Source organism: Homo sapiens, chromosome 2, assembly GCF_000001405.40.
Source record: "Homo sapiens chromosome 2, GRCh38.p14 Primary Assembly".
Lineage (NCBI taxonomy): Eukaryota > Metazoa > Chordata > Mammalia > Primates > Hominidae > Homo > Homo sapiens.
Genome location: NC_000002.12, coordinates 215,970,556 through 215,983,928, shown reverse-complemented (window position 1 = coordinate 215,983,928; position 13,373 = coordinate 215,970,556). Strand labels below are relative to the sequence as shown.

The 13,373-nt window shown below is 42.6% G+C and overlaps 1 protein-coding gene across 9 annotated transcripts in view, besides 1 other annotated feature; it reads left to right on the top strand.

Moving 5' to 3' along the window:
• MREG (melanoregulin) overlaps positions 1-13,373 on the top strand; it is a 94,789-nt gene that overhangs the window by 50,168 nt on the left and 31,248 nt on the right. The gene's annotated exons all lie outside the window — the stretch shown is intronic.
• Positions 1,178-1,247: a silencer, noted in NCBI's record as "silent region_12301". NCBI's record gives its function as "represses an Ori minimal core promoter by ATAC-STARR-seq in GM12878 lymphoblastoid cells {active_cell/tissue: GM12878}" and the evidence as "EXISTENCE:reporter gene assay evidence [ECO:0000049][PMID:35858748]".

The following is a 13,373-nucleotide window of genomic DNA, read 5'->3' as shown; positions in this document are numbered from 1 at the left end:
AAAAACTGGTGATGTTTATTTGGCATAATGAGTGACAGAAATTCTACGCTTATCCTTTAAGGCTATTAAGTAATTGTATGCTGACAAATGCATATACCTCTCATGACATGTGTCTGCCTGCCTGTCACTCATCAGCAGGAACCACATGGTCACCAGATGCTTGTGTGGCTGGAGTGATCTCTGAAAACCACACTTGGCCAAACCCCCTGGGAGCAGCTAAATTTTATTTTTTTAAAACTACAGAGGCAATACTTCATAAATACATACAATTACTACATGTCAACTAAAAATAAAAGCAAAAAATTAAAACTACAGAGGCAGACACATAAATGATCCTCATTTATAATTTATTTGCCCCCAGTACGTGAAGACTACCTGCTAGGGTATTGCCAGACATTGTAAACACTTCCTTAAAAATGTTTAAGATAGGAACAGACCTTCCCCCAGGGGCTGTCTCCAATGTCTGGGTCATACACTTAGCCTATCATATCCCTAATACAAAAAGGGACAACAAAACAGAGTTGATTGGAATATTGGGTGGGAGAAACAGGGAAAGGGGGGTTGAACTGATCGTGGACCAGCCACATAATGCTTAAGCACTCAGAAACTGAGATACTCCAGTCTGGCTCTGCATTACTGTGTCTCAATATGTCCCCAAGAATTGGACAAAGCCCACTCTTTCGGGGCCATCTGATTTTTCCAGAAGTGGGTGAACATTGGCTACATTTGGAGATAGGACTGCAAGTTTTACCCCAACCACGGAGGAGCAAAATAACTGGAAAAGGGAAGCGATTTTCTAGATAATTTTGGGATCCTCCGAAGGCTTCTTTCTTTGAGGTCCAGATTATCTGGATTCTTGAATGCATTTATTCTTTCTTTTACTTTGCTAGTGACTATTTGGGTTTAGAGGATTTGGGGCAGGGTGGAGGGAGAGAATAAACAAGCTTACTAGGATCTGAGAATCAAGGGTTCTTGCACTCTATTTTCTAGGTAATAATATTTATAGAATATTACCCTGTATGCTAAGCAACATGCTTCATGTTCTCCAGACAAATACTGAATCCTCACGGTAACCCTATGAAAGAGGCATTTTGACTCAGATGATTAGAGACTTTGTCACTGGTACAAAGTGTTGGAGGAAGTGACTGGGAGCATTGGGATCCCAGCTCAGGTCGGTGTGACCCAGAAACCTGCATGACTAGAAACATTACTCCAGGCTCTCCAGTGAGTTTAGAAAGAGCGTCAGTGGAACCTCTTTGGTCAAAGACAAAGTTCCCAAGCAGTTATTGGCTTCCTGCCTCGAGTAGACACTCCGGTCTATGTTTGCTGATCATTACTCACCCTGTGTCAACTGAGTCATGGAGTGACTGGTTTTGGTGTTGGTTTTGTATCCACCTGCTTTTGGCCCTGATGCTATTGCACCATTCGATTACTAAAACCCATGGATTATACCAGAAGATGTTCTGTTCATCGGTCTGTGATGTTTCTATTCTTTGCTCATCCCCGTTCTCCTTTTTAAAAAATATATAAGCATTTCTTTTGATTAGCATTAAGAGAATCAATGTTTCTTTTTTCTTTTCTTTTTTTTTTTTTGACGGAGTTTTGCTGTGACAGAATTTTGCTCCTGTCACCCAGGCTGGAGTGCAATGGCGTGATCTTGGCTCACTGCAACCTCTGCTTCCCAGGTTCAAGTGATTCTCCTGTCTCAGCCTCCCAACTAGCTGGAATTACAGGCATGCACCACCACATCCGGCTAATTTTTGTATTTTCAGTAGAGACAGGGTTTCGCAGTGTTGGTCAGGCTGGTCTTGAACTCCTGACCTCAGGTGATCCACCCACCTCAGCCTCCCAAAGTGTTGGGATTACAGGTGTGAGCCACCGTGCCCGGCCAGTGTTTCTTACTAAGTAGGTAGCACCTCAGTGCTCCATGTAAGTCAGCAGAGTTGACACAATAAATAGTGGCAAACCTGATGTAGGCCAGCGAGCAGCATCATTAGCAATTCTGCAGGATGTGTGGTGGTGAAGAACATGGGCTCTGGAATCAGACAGATTTGAGGATAAGAAGCATACCTCTGCCATATTCTAATGAGATGATACTGAATAGTTATTTAATCTTAGAGTGATTATACTATCTGTTGTCCAGTTTGGGACATAGTCACTTAAGTTCTTAAGTAAGAGGAGAGGGGCTGCTAATATTAAGTATTCCAGGCCAAAAATATAAACTGGGACTGCCCTAGACAAGGATCACCTTTCTTTTTAAATTTAAAATATATATAACAAAAATTTCCTCTTGTAATCATTTTTCAGTTAAGTGGTACAGTTTGGTGGCATTGAGTACGTTCATATTTTTTGGCAACAATCACCATTATGCATCTCCAGAACTTTTTTATCTTCTCAAACTAAAACTCTGTGCCCACTAGACAATAACTCCCCAGCTCCTGGCAACTTTCTACTTTCTTTCTCTATGAATTTGGCTACTTTAGGTACGTACTGTAAGTGGAATCATGCAGTATTTGTCCTTTCATAGCTAGCTTGCTTCACTTAGCGTAATGTTTCCAAAGTTCATTCACACTGCAGCAGCCGTCAGCATTTCCTTCCTTTTTCAAGCGGAATAATATTCCATAGTGTGTATATGCCACATTCGGTTTACTCACTCATCCATTGATGGACACTCGGGTTGCTTCTATGTTTTGGCTCTTGTGAGTAATGCTGTTGCAAACACGGGTGTACAAATATCTGCTTGAGTCCCTGTTTTCAGTTCTTTTGGGCATATACCTAGAAGTGGAATTGTTGGATCATAGAGTAATTTATTTAATGAGTTATTAATTATTTAATTTATTTAAGTTATTTAATTTGTTAAATTTTTTAAGGAACTGCGGTACTGTTTCCCACAGTATCTGTACCATTTTACATTTTCACCAGCAAGGTACAAGAGTTCCAGTTCCTCTACATCTTTGCCAACACTTGTTATTAATATTTCCCTTCTCTTCCGTTCCCTTCCCTTCCCTTCCCTTCCCTGCCCTTCCCTGCCCTGCCCTGTCCTGCCCTGCCCTGCCCTGCCCTCCCCTCCCCTCCCCTCCCCTCCTCTCTGCTTCTCTTCCCTTTTCTTCTTTCTTTAAGCCAGAGCCTTGCTTTGTTGCCCAGGCTGGAGGGCAGTGGCGTGATCTCTGCTCACTGCAACTTCCACCTCCTGGGTTCAAGTGATTCTCCTGCCTCAGCCTCCCGAGTACCTTGGCCTCCCCAAGTGCTGGGATTACAGGCATGAGCCACTGCGCCCAGCCTCTATCACTTTTCTTAACCTCCAAATTGCTCAATAAAAAAATAGCTGACAGCTTCGTACTGATCAGTTTTCACACCTGCATAAAGTAGATGCACTGAAACTGTGGGCCAGTCACAACCACTCAATATCATCCTGAGGGATGTAAACCTGGAAGAGGCTGATGCCTGGTGGAGCCTCCCTCGAAGCTGCTTGGCCGTGGAAGGTAAAGGAAAGAACAGGAGACTGGGGAGCTTTTTGTAACTGAATTCTACTCTGTTTTCTGGGCATTTATATTCTAGGTTGTGATGACCAGGCCTCCTTGTTTTACTCTTCTTTAGAGTTTGTCCTCATTGACCTCACTGCCCTGGAGCCCCAGAAAGATATATGAAGGCCAAGGGTAACGTACCTTGTGAGTCCTGACAGTTCAGTGAAATAGGAAGGATGGACAACAAGTTGGGGCCCTCCAGGAGAAAGCAGTGCCTGGAGGAAAAGGGCAGATGCTGGCCAACTTTCTCCATATCCAGAACCTTGCTGTCACAGCAACGCATTGCTGCACCTCTGCATTTCCTGCGTATTGTGCTTGTGATGGTCAAAATTTCTGGAAGGCCACATATTAATTGGCAGGCATGTGCAGGATAATTTACTGACAGAAATGGGCTCTTTCCATTAGTTTTTTTTGTTTTTTTTTTTTGTTTGTTTGTTTTTTTCACATCTTGCATAAAACAGGGCCTGAAAGGAAACTGAAACCATAAAGCTGCCTCAAAGCTTTTATCTTTAAAAAATCACAGTCGATGACATATACATTTTGAAACACCAGGGGTTAATACCAAGTCAAGCCTCCAGTGACCTACTCAGTATTGACTTTGGTTTTTCTTAGAGTGTCTGAGATCATCAGAGATACCTCCCTGTCGTACAGTCAAGGCACCTCCTATAAGCACTTGCTGGCTTCTCAAGGCAGTCTTTTGAGATAAATAAACTATTTATTTTAAAAAAGAGTGAGTGAGAGACCCAAGAGGTTAAGTGACTTTTCTCAGTAGTGCCCAAACAGAAATGCACTTCTTACTTGGTGTCAATGCTGTTTACTATAAAGTGGAGAAGGAAAGCTACAAGGTTCAGTGAATTTAGGGCAGATAATTGAATAACTTTGTTTACCTTTTATTATTATTATTATTATTATTATTATTATTATTATTATTATTATTTTTTGAGATGGAGTTTCACTCTTGTTGCCCAGGCTGGACTGCAGTGGCGCGATCTCGGCTCACTGCAATCTCCGCCTCCCGGGTTCAAGTGATTCTTCTGCCTCAGCCTCCCGAGTAGCTGGGATTACAGGCATGCGCCACCATGCCCGGCTAATTTTGTATTTTTAGTAGAGATGGGGTTTCTCCATGTTGGTCAGGCTGGTCTTGAACTTCCGACCTCAGATGATCCACCCACCTCGGCCTTCCAAAGTGCTGGGATTACAGGCGTGAGCCACCGTGCCCGACCTATCTTTTATTTTAAATGTTAACAGGAATAAGCTTGTAGACATAGAACTTTGTAGAAAAAAATGTAAGATAGCATCCAGCTTATTTCCCTCTTATGAAAACTCCAATGTGTGATTGTTATTTCAAAGACATCTAGGCTATTGTCATACACAGGGCATGCTTTAACAGAAGCTCAAATTCTACCCGATGTGTCCATTCATCAGTTAATTTTATTCAAAATGATGTGTCTCACATTAAATCAGGAAGCTTTGATTAGTAATTAAGCTGTGGGTTTGTCATAAATAGCTCTTATTATTTTGAGATATGTTCCATCAATACCTAGTTTATTGAGAGTTTTTAGCATGAAGTGCTGTTGAATTTTGTCAAAGGCCTTTTCTGCATCTGTTGAGATAATCATGTGGTTTTTGCTGATGGTTCTGTTTATGTGATAGATTATGTTTATTGATTTGAGTATGCTGAACCAGGCTTGCATCCCAGGGATGAAGCTGACTTGATCGTGGTGGATAACCTTTTTGATGTGCTGCTGGATTCGGTTTGCCAGTATTTTATTGAGAATTTTTGCATCGATATTCATCAGAGATATTGGTCTAAAATTCTCTTTTTTTGTTGTGTCTGTGCCAGGTTTTGGTTTCAGGATGATGCTGGCCTCATAAAACGAGTTAGGGAGGATTCCTTCTTTTTCTGTTGATTGGTATAGTTTCAGAAGGAATGGTACCAGCTCCTCTTTGTACCTCTGGTAGAATTCGGCTGTGAATCTATCTGGTTCTGGACTTTTTTCAGTTGGTAAGCTATTAATGATTGCCTCAATTTCAGAGCCTGTTAGTGGTCTATTCAGAGATTCAGTTTCTTCCTGGTTTAGTCTTGGGAGGGTGTATGTGTCCAGGAATTTATTCATTTCTTCTAGATTTTCTAGTTTATTTGCATAGAGGTGTTTATAGTATTCTCTGATGGTAGTTTGTATTTCTGTGGGATCGGTGGTGATATCCCCTTTATCATTTTTTATTGCATCTATTTGATTCTTCTCTCTTTTCTTCTTTATTAGTCTTACTAGTGGTCTATCAATTTTGTTGATCTTTTCAAAAAACCAGTTCCTGGATTCATTGATTTTTTGAAGGGTTTTTTTGTTTCTCTATCTCCTTCAATTCTGCTCTGATTTTAAGTGATTTCTTGCCTTCTGCTAGCTTTTGAATTTGTTTGCTCTTGTTTCTCTAGTTCTTTTAATTGTGATGTTAGGGTATCGATTTTAGATCTTTCCTGCTTTCTTTTGTGGGCATTTAGTGCTATAAATTTCCCTCTACTCACTGCTTTAAATGTGTCCCAGAGATTCTGGAACCTTGTGTCTTTGTCCTCATTGGTTTCAAATAATATATTTATTTCTGCCTTCATTTCATTATTTACCCAGGAGTCATTCAGGAGCAGGTTGTTCAGTTTCCATGTAGTTGTGCAGTTTTGAGTGAGTTTCTTAATCCTGAGTTCTAGTTTGATTACACTGTGGTCTGAGAGACAGTTTGTTATAATTTCTGTTCTTTCACATTTGCTAAGGAGTGCTTTACGTCCAACTATGTGGTCAATTTTGGAATAAGTGCAATGTGGTGCTGAGAAGAATGTATATTCTGTTGATTTGGGGTGGAGAGTTCTGTAGATGTCTATTAGGTCAGCTTGCTGCAAAGCTGAGTTCAAGTCCTAGATATCCTTGTTAATTTTCTGTCTCGTTGATCTGTCTAATATCGACAGTGGGGTGTTAAAATCTCCCATTATTGTTGTGTGGGAGTCTAAGTCTCTTTGTAGGTCTCTAAGGACTTGCTTTATGAATCTGGGTGCTCCTGTATTGGGTGCATATATATTTAGGATAGTTAGTTCTTCTTGTTGAATAGATCCCTTTACCATTATGTAATAGCCTTCTTTGTCTCTTTTGATCTTTGTTGGTTTAAAGTCTGTTTTATCAGAGACTAGGGTTGCAACCCCTGCTTTTTGTTGGTTTCCATTTGCTTTGTAGATCTTCCTCCATCCCTTTATTTTGAGCCTATGTGTGTCTCTGCAAGTGAGATGAGTCTCCTGAATACAGCACCCTGATGGGTCATGACTCTTTATCCAGTTTGCCAGTCTGTGTCTTTTAGTTGGGGCATCTAGCCCATTTACATTTAAGGTTAATATTGTTATATGTGAATTTGGTCCTGTCATTATGATGTTAGCTGGTTATTTTGCCCGTTAGTTGATGCAGTTCCTTCCTAGCATCCTTGGTCTTTACAATTTGGCGTGTTTTTGCAGAGGCTGGTACCAGTCGTTCCTTTCCATGCTTAGTGCTTCCTTCAGGAGCTCTTGTAAGGCAGGCCTGGTGGTGACAAAAGCTCTCAGCCTTTGCTTGTCTGTAAAGGATTTTATTTCACCTTCACTTATGAAGCTTAGTTTGGCTGGATATGAAATTCTGGGTTGAAAATTCTTTTCTTTAAGAATGTTGAATATTGGCCCCCACTCTCTTCTGGCTTGTAGAGTTTCTGCTGAGAGATCCGCTGTTAGTCTGATGGGCTTCCCGACAACTGACACTTATGGAGCACTCCCTGTACTCCAGATGTTGCTCTAAATACGTTACCTATACCACACCAACTACCGTTGTCCTCAAGGTATGATAACTCGGTGCTTTCCTCTCCAGTATAAAGTTATTCATGTCATTTGGCCAGAACCTCCTGTCCTTTGATGGTGGTAGATGGTGATTTCTGAATGTCATCCCCAGATGAGTAGTAGCCTTAAGCACTGGGTACAGGCAGAAATTTGGGAAGGCAGGTAGCAGAATGTGGAATCAAAGCAAATCTAGAATAATGTAATATTGTGTGAATATGGGGCTAAGAGCAAGGGATGTATTTCAAATAAAGGCTCTAGTTGAAGAGGCTGGGCAGATACCCAGACAGAACCAACAGATTTGGAATAGAAGGCAAGATGCATGGGATAGAATGGAAGGTAGAGTTTCAAGAAATTGTAGTCCGAGTGAAACACGCAGATTGTTGCAAGTGGAACTTAATGCACTGCCAAGGCTCAGTGAGGAAATGACATCCTACTGTCCCATTTTTTTTTTTTTTTGAGACGGAGTCCTGCTTTATCACTTGGGCTGGAGGGCAGTGGTGCGATCTTGGCTCACTGCAACCCCTGCCTCCTGGGTTCAAGCGACTCTCCTGCCTCAGCCCAGCTCCCCCATACCACGCCCCCCGCGAGTAGCTGGGATTACAGGTGCACACCACCATGCCCGGCTACTTTTTGTATTTTTAGTAGAGACAGTGTTTCACCGTGTTGGCCAGGCTGGTCTTGAACTCCTGACCTCAGGCAATCTGCCCGCCTCAACCTCCCAAAGTGCTGGGATTACAGGTGTGAGCCACGGCGCCCGGCCCTATGAGACTTCTTGACTGTCTTCCTGTCAAATAATGATATCATCTCTGTTGCCCATTGATAGTTACACTTTCCCAACTGAAGGCTTATTCATTTTCTTGATGCATTATTTAATATATAAAGCTGACTGAAGGTACAGAAACCTATGAGGTTATTAAGCTTTGGAAAATCTCTGCCCGAATGGACTGTGGCAGTGTCTAGTAAAGATTTACATTTTTCTCTTGGCTGAGCCCATGGGATGTGGCTGCCCCCAAATGGTATTCCTTGTGATCAAAACAGCTCCTTGGCTTCTGTGGCAGTCATTTAGGTTGCACTGACTAGCTCTTTTTAAGGTAGAATAGCCTACATATTGCAACTAAATTAAGTCAACTCATCCAGCAGTTTTGCTGTCAATCTAGCCTATGGTCAGTGGGCACCATTCTCACACTGCTAAACAAAGTTATGGTTATGAAAGGCAAAAGTATAGAAATAAAACTACCCAATGAAAGTACTGGTTAAGTACATCTTAAGTAGCTTCACTAATGAATGCTATATACCTTGAAAAATAATGAGATAGGATTTATAGATAGTGACTTAGAAAGACGGTTATGATCTATTGCTAAATGGGTATGTATAATGTTATCCCATTTGTGTAAAAGCATGTATATGCTAATGTACAATGATAAGATTTGTGGACTGTTACCTGCAGTAGAAGTAGGTGGAGGGAAGGAGGCTTTTACTTTCCTTTAACTTTATAGTTTTCTGTACAGTTTGAATACAATTCAGAGGTATTATTTCATATATATATATATATATAATTCATATAAAATAAAATTCTCTCCCTGTTATTTCCTAACACATTTTGTGGTGGCTGTTTCCCTGGATCTTTCTAAACTGTTTTGCTTTGATTTACTGTGGGTGTGCTGGAGAAAGTGGGAGGTGGAGAGAGGGAGAGAGAGAGAGAGAGAGAGAGTGTGTGTGTGTGTGTGTGTGTGTGTGTCTGTGTGTGTGTCTGTGTCTGTGTTTAGGAACTGGAGCAGGCTTTGAGGAATTTCACCAGAGTAGATAAAGCAGAAAGGCGATGAAGCCATTGGTCAGCATTTATCTTTCCAAGGGTCTAAGATTCTTCCTTTACATCAGTACCTTTCTTTGCAGCTGTCTTCCCCTCCCCTGCCTGTAAAGTCACATGCTAATTAATAGATCTTTGTGTGTTGCCTTTTTCACCACTGTGCCCTCACCACCACTCCTAGCCCTGCCTCTTCCCTTGGTTGGTCTGGCTCCTCTTACAGTAAAAATGGCTCTTAATTGCATGGAGCCCAGGAGAGTCCCAGATACAGACGCAGTGGAACCTCCTGACATGCTTGGGCTCAGGTGGGGCATCGAGGAGGGTTCTGAGGAGCCCTCCATAAGAACACTGGGCTTGCTTTCTGGCTTTAATTGAATATGTGGGGAAATGGGAGCACCTGCCCAGTTCTGATGTGGGCTGAGACCTGCTGCTTCTCAGACTTAAATCCAGTGTTCTGGAAAGAGACCGTATTTTTCTTGACCTGAAACAGTCCTTTCCTTTGGGTGCCAGGTCCCCGGATACTTGTTGTTACATAATCCTTACACATGGTCATGCTATTTACAGCCCAGGAGTGAGATGTGTCATTTTATGGTTTTGCAATCTAGGAGGCAGGCCACACAGCAAATGAATACAAGCTGGGCACACCCTCTTGAAATAATTGCTATGTCGAATTACAATCTAGGTGAGGAAAAGTCACACCCAAGCTCTTTTACCAATATGCTGTTGTCTTTGTTGTTAATAAAGCACTTAACATGGGGTGATTTTCAATGGACCCGAGTGCAAATTAACCTAGTTTCTTCTTCCATAAAAAACATGTTTTGCAGCAGGAGGCCACAAGCATGCAAGAAGTGTGTTGGAGCCACAGATTGCCAGACCTGGCTGTGGAGTTGCATTTTTCAACTAAGAAGTAGAAGGTTCAGGTGCCTTTGATGGTTAACCAGGCCCAGGTATTAGGCTGTCCTCAGAGAGGGCTGTGATGGGAGTCAGCCTGTTGCAGCACAACCAAAATATTTTTTGTTCCAGTGTACAACTGAATGTACTTTAATCTGTTCTAGTTTCTTTTCTTTTCTTTTTTGCCAGCGTTGGTGAGTGTACCAGAAAGTTTGGAAAACAGGTTGAAGTGGTAGAGATAAAAATCTACTGCAGTTGAATTTGTTGAAAAGCCCAGGACATGCCTCAGGGACCTGCGTTTATCCATTTGCTCCAATCTCTTTCCCAGCAATCACTTAACATTTGGGGGAGTTGGAGGATAGCTGGGAGTGGGCATGCAACAGCTTGTAAGGAGGGAGAGGCCTGTGGACTGTGGACTGGACAGGGTGTCCACTCTTTGAATCCGGCCTCGGCAGTCTGCAAAAATAAATTCAAAAATGCTCTTTGTCATCTTATGCTGCATGTGGTGTTATCTGTTTAATGTTAATGAGGTTTCAGCGTTGCTTTCAATGGGGAGTGACTGCAGTACATGCTCTTGAGCCGTTATCTCTTTGCTTGTCCAGGCAGAAGTTTGGAGGGAATGGGCTTTGGAGTAGGACGAAGCTACCCAAAGAGGTATTTGTAACCAGCAAGGTGGGCTGCCTTTGCATGCAAGGTCATTCCCTCTGTTGTCCTGGGCTCTCCTTTTAACTCTCGAAGGGCCCCTTCTCCAGGGTCATCCAGCCTCCAGGGTTCTTGCCCTATCATCCTCTGGCTGTGCCCCTTTTGGTTGCTCCTTACCAAGTCTGGCTCACCCCCAAAGGACCCCAACACTCATATTTTTTTCTCCCTTCTTTTCACCCAGTTACATGTCCATTCACTCTACCTAGGCTTAGCTCACCTGGGAATTGTTAAAAAGCAGGTATTAGGAGACAACCAGAGGAATTCAGTGAGGGGTGTGAATGGCGGATGAATTTAACCTGCTCTCCAATTTTGGAAGAGGAACCTGTAAACCCCAATTCATCGTAATTGGTGAAATTGAGGGAATTGTTGTTGTTGTTGTTTTTTAAAAAACAATTTTATTGAGGTATAATGGACATACAATAAACTGCATATATTTAAAATGTACAATTAGATAATTTTTGCACCCATTAAATCATCACCACAATCAAGGTCATGAACATATCCATATCCCAAAATGCTTCCTCTATCCTTTTTTTTTTTTTTTTTTTTCTGGGAGAGAGTCTCACTCTATTGGCTAGACTGAAGTGCAGTGGCACAATCTCGGCTCACCGCAACCTCGCCTCAGACTCCCAGGTAGCTGGGATTACAGGCAAGCACCACCAGGCCTGGCTAGTTTTTGTACATCTAGTAGAAATGGGTTTTCACCATGTTGGCTAGGCTGGTCTCTAACTCCTGGCCTCAAGTGATCCACTTGCCTCGGCCTCCCAAAGTGCTGGGATTACAGGTGTGAGCCACTGCACCTGGCCTCACAGCTCTTTTTAATCCTATCTTCTTATTCCTCCTTTTCTTTTTAAATTTTTTATGGAGAGGAGAGGTTTTCTAAATAGGCCAGTTCAGTGCTTTCTTGCTGGAGTTCCAGATAACCTTTGGATAATGCTGCTGAAGTTTTTGGTCTTTCCCACGTTGGAGTTGGAGCAGCCTCATCATCTGAGAAATACTGCCAGAGGCTTGGGATCCAGGATTCCTAGGAAGGAGACAGGGTCCTGAAGGTAGAGGACACGGCACTGGACCATCCAGGTGGTTTCCTGTCCAAAACGATCTTGTGGAGCCCAAGGACTGAATGGTCTAGAGGGGGTGATCCCTGGCATGAGCTGGCAATCAGCACCTGGCATATCTTGGAGTTGCACCATCGGGCAACTAACTGCGGGTGCCGGGAATGTCTTTCCCATCTGATGGGTTAGGTAAGGCAGTGCGTTTGAGAAATGATCTCCCTTCTCGCTGGCAGATCCTTGGTTGATGTTGAAACACAGACTGTCCTTCATATACTCACTCTACCTGTTCCTCTGCCCTAGTTTTGAAAGGTCTTTTCTTGCTCTTTTGTCTCTGCTGCTTTGGACTCTTCTCCCAGCTACAGTAAGTTGAGAGCAGGGCCCTGTAACACACACAGGAAAGGAAGCAGGCAGGACCTCTGCTCCTTTGATCCATGTTTTTCTACATTCAGCTTGTCCAGGATATTCTACCTTATTCTGCCTGTACCTTTCTTTATGCGAACTTCTCATCTGACACAGGGCAAGATCCAGTCATCTGGAGGAACTGGCTCAGGACCAGATAGATCTAGGCTTTTGATTGCTAGGTGTCCAAAAACATAGAATTTCATTGACTTCTTAATATTTTGATCCATGACATAGTATTTACCGCTTACCTGTTTTGAAGTGATGGTTGGGGAATAAAAAGCACCTTAGGGTACATGGAAACTAGAGAGAGGGCAAATGCTGACATGTGTCAGAATGATGATTTTCTATTGAACTCCTACCTCCAAGCGTGGATAGCAGTTGTCACTATTTTATTCTTATTTTTTAAATTTTGCTTTAAGTTCTGGGATGCATGTGCAGAATGTGCAGGTTTGTTACATAGACATACATGTGCCATGGTGGTTTGCTGCCCGTATCAACCCGTCATCTAGGTTTTAAGCCCTGCATGCATTAGGTATTTGTCCTAATGCTCTCCCTCTCCTTGCGCCCCATCCCCTGACAGGCCCCAGTGTGTGATGTCCTCCCCACCCCCATGTTCGTGTATTCTCATTGTTCAACTCCCACTTATGAGTCAGAACATGTGGTGTTTGGTTTTCTGTTCCTGTGTTAGTTTGCTGAGAATTATGGCTTCCAGCTTCATCCATGTCCCTACTAAGGACATGGATGAACTCATTCTTTTTTATGGCTGCATAGTATTCCATAGTGTATATGTGCCACATTTTCTTTATCCAGTCTATCATTGATGGGCATTTGGGCTGGTTCCAAGTCTTTGCTATTGTAAATATCAGTATTATTTTTAACCCACTGTAGCAGCTGAAGCTGTGATCATCTTATCCTAATAATTAACATTCGTACAGCACTTTTCTTTGCAGCGTGCTTTCTCGTGTAACGTTTGAGCTTTACAAGCCTGTGGCATTGGCAGGCAAGTGTCTTCCACTCTACAGTTCGTAAAACTGAGGTCACAGAGGCTGAATGACTTGCTAGTCAGGGGTGAAGCTCAGACTCAGACCCAGAGCTCATGCTGTTTCCCTGCTGCCCTTGTGCATGTATGGCTGTGCAGATGAGTAAGAGACTCTTGT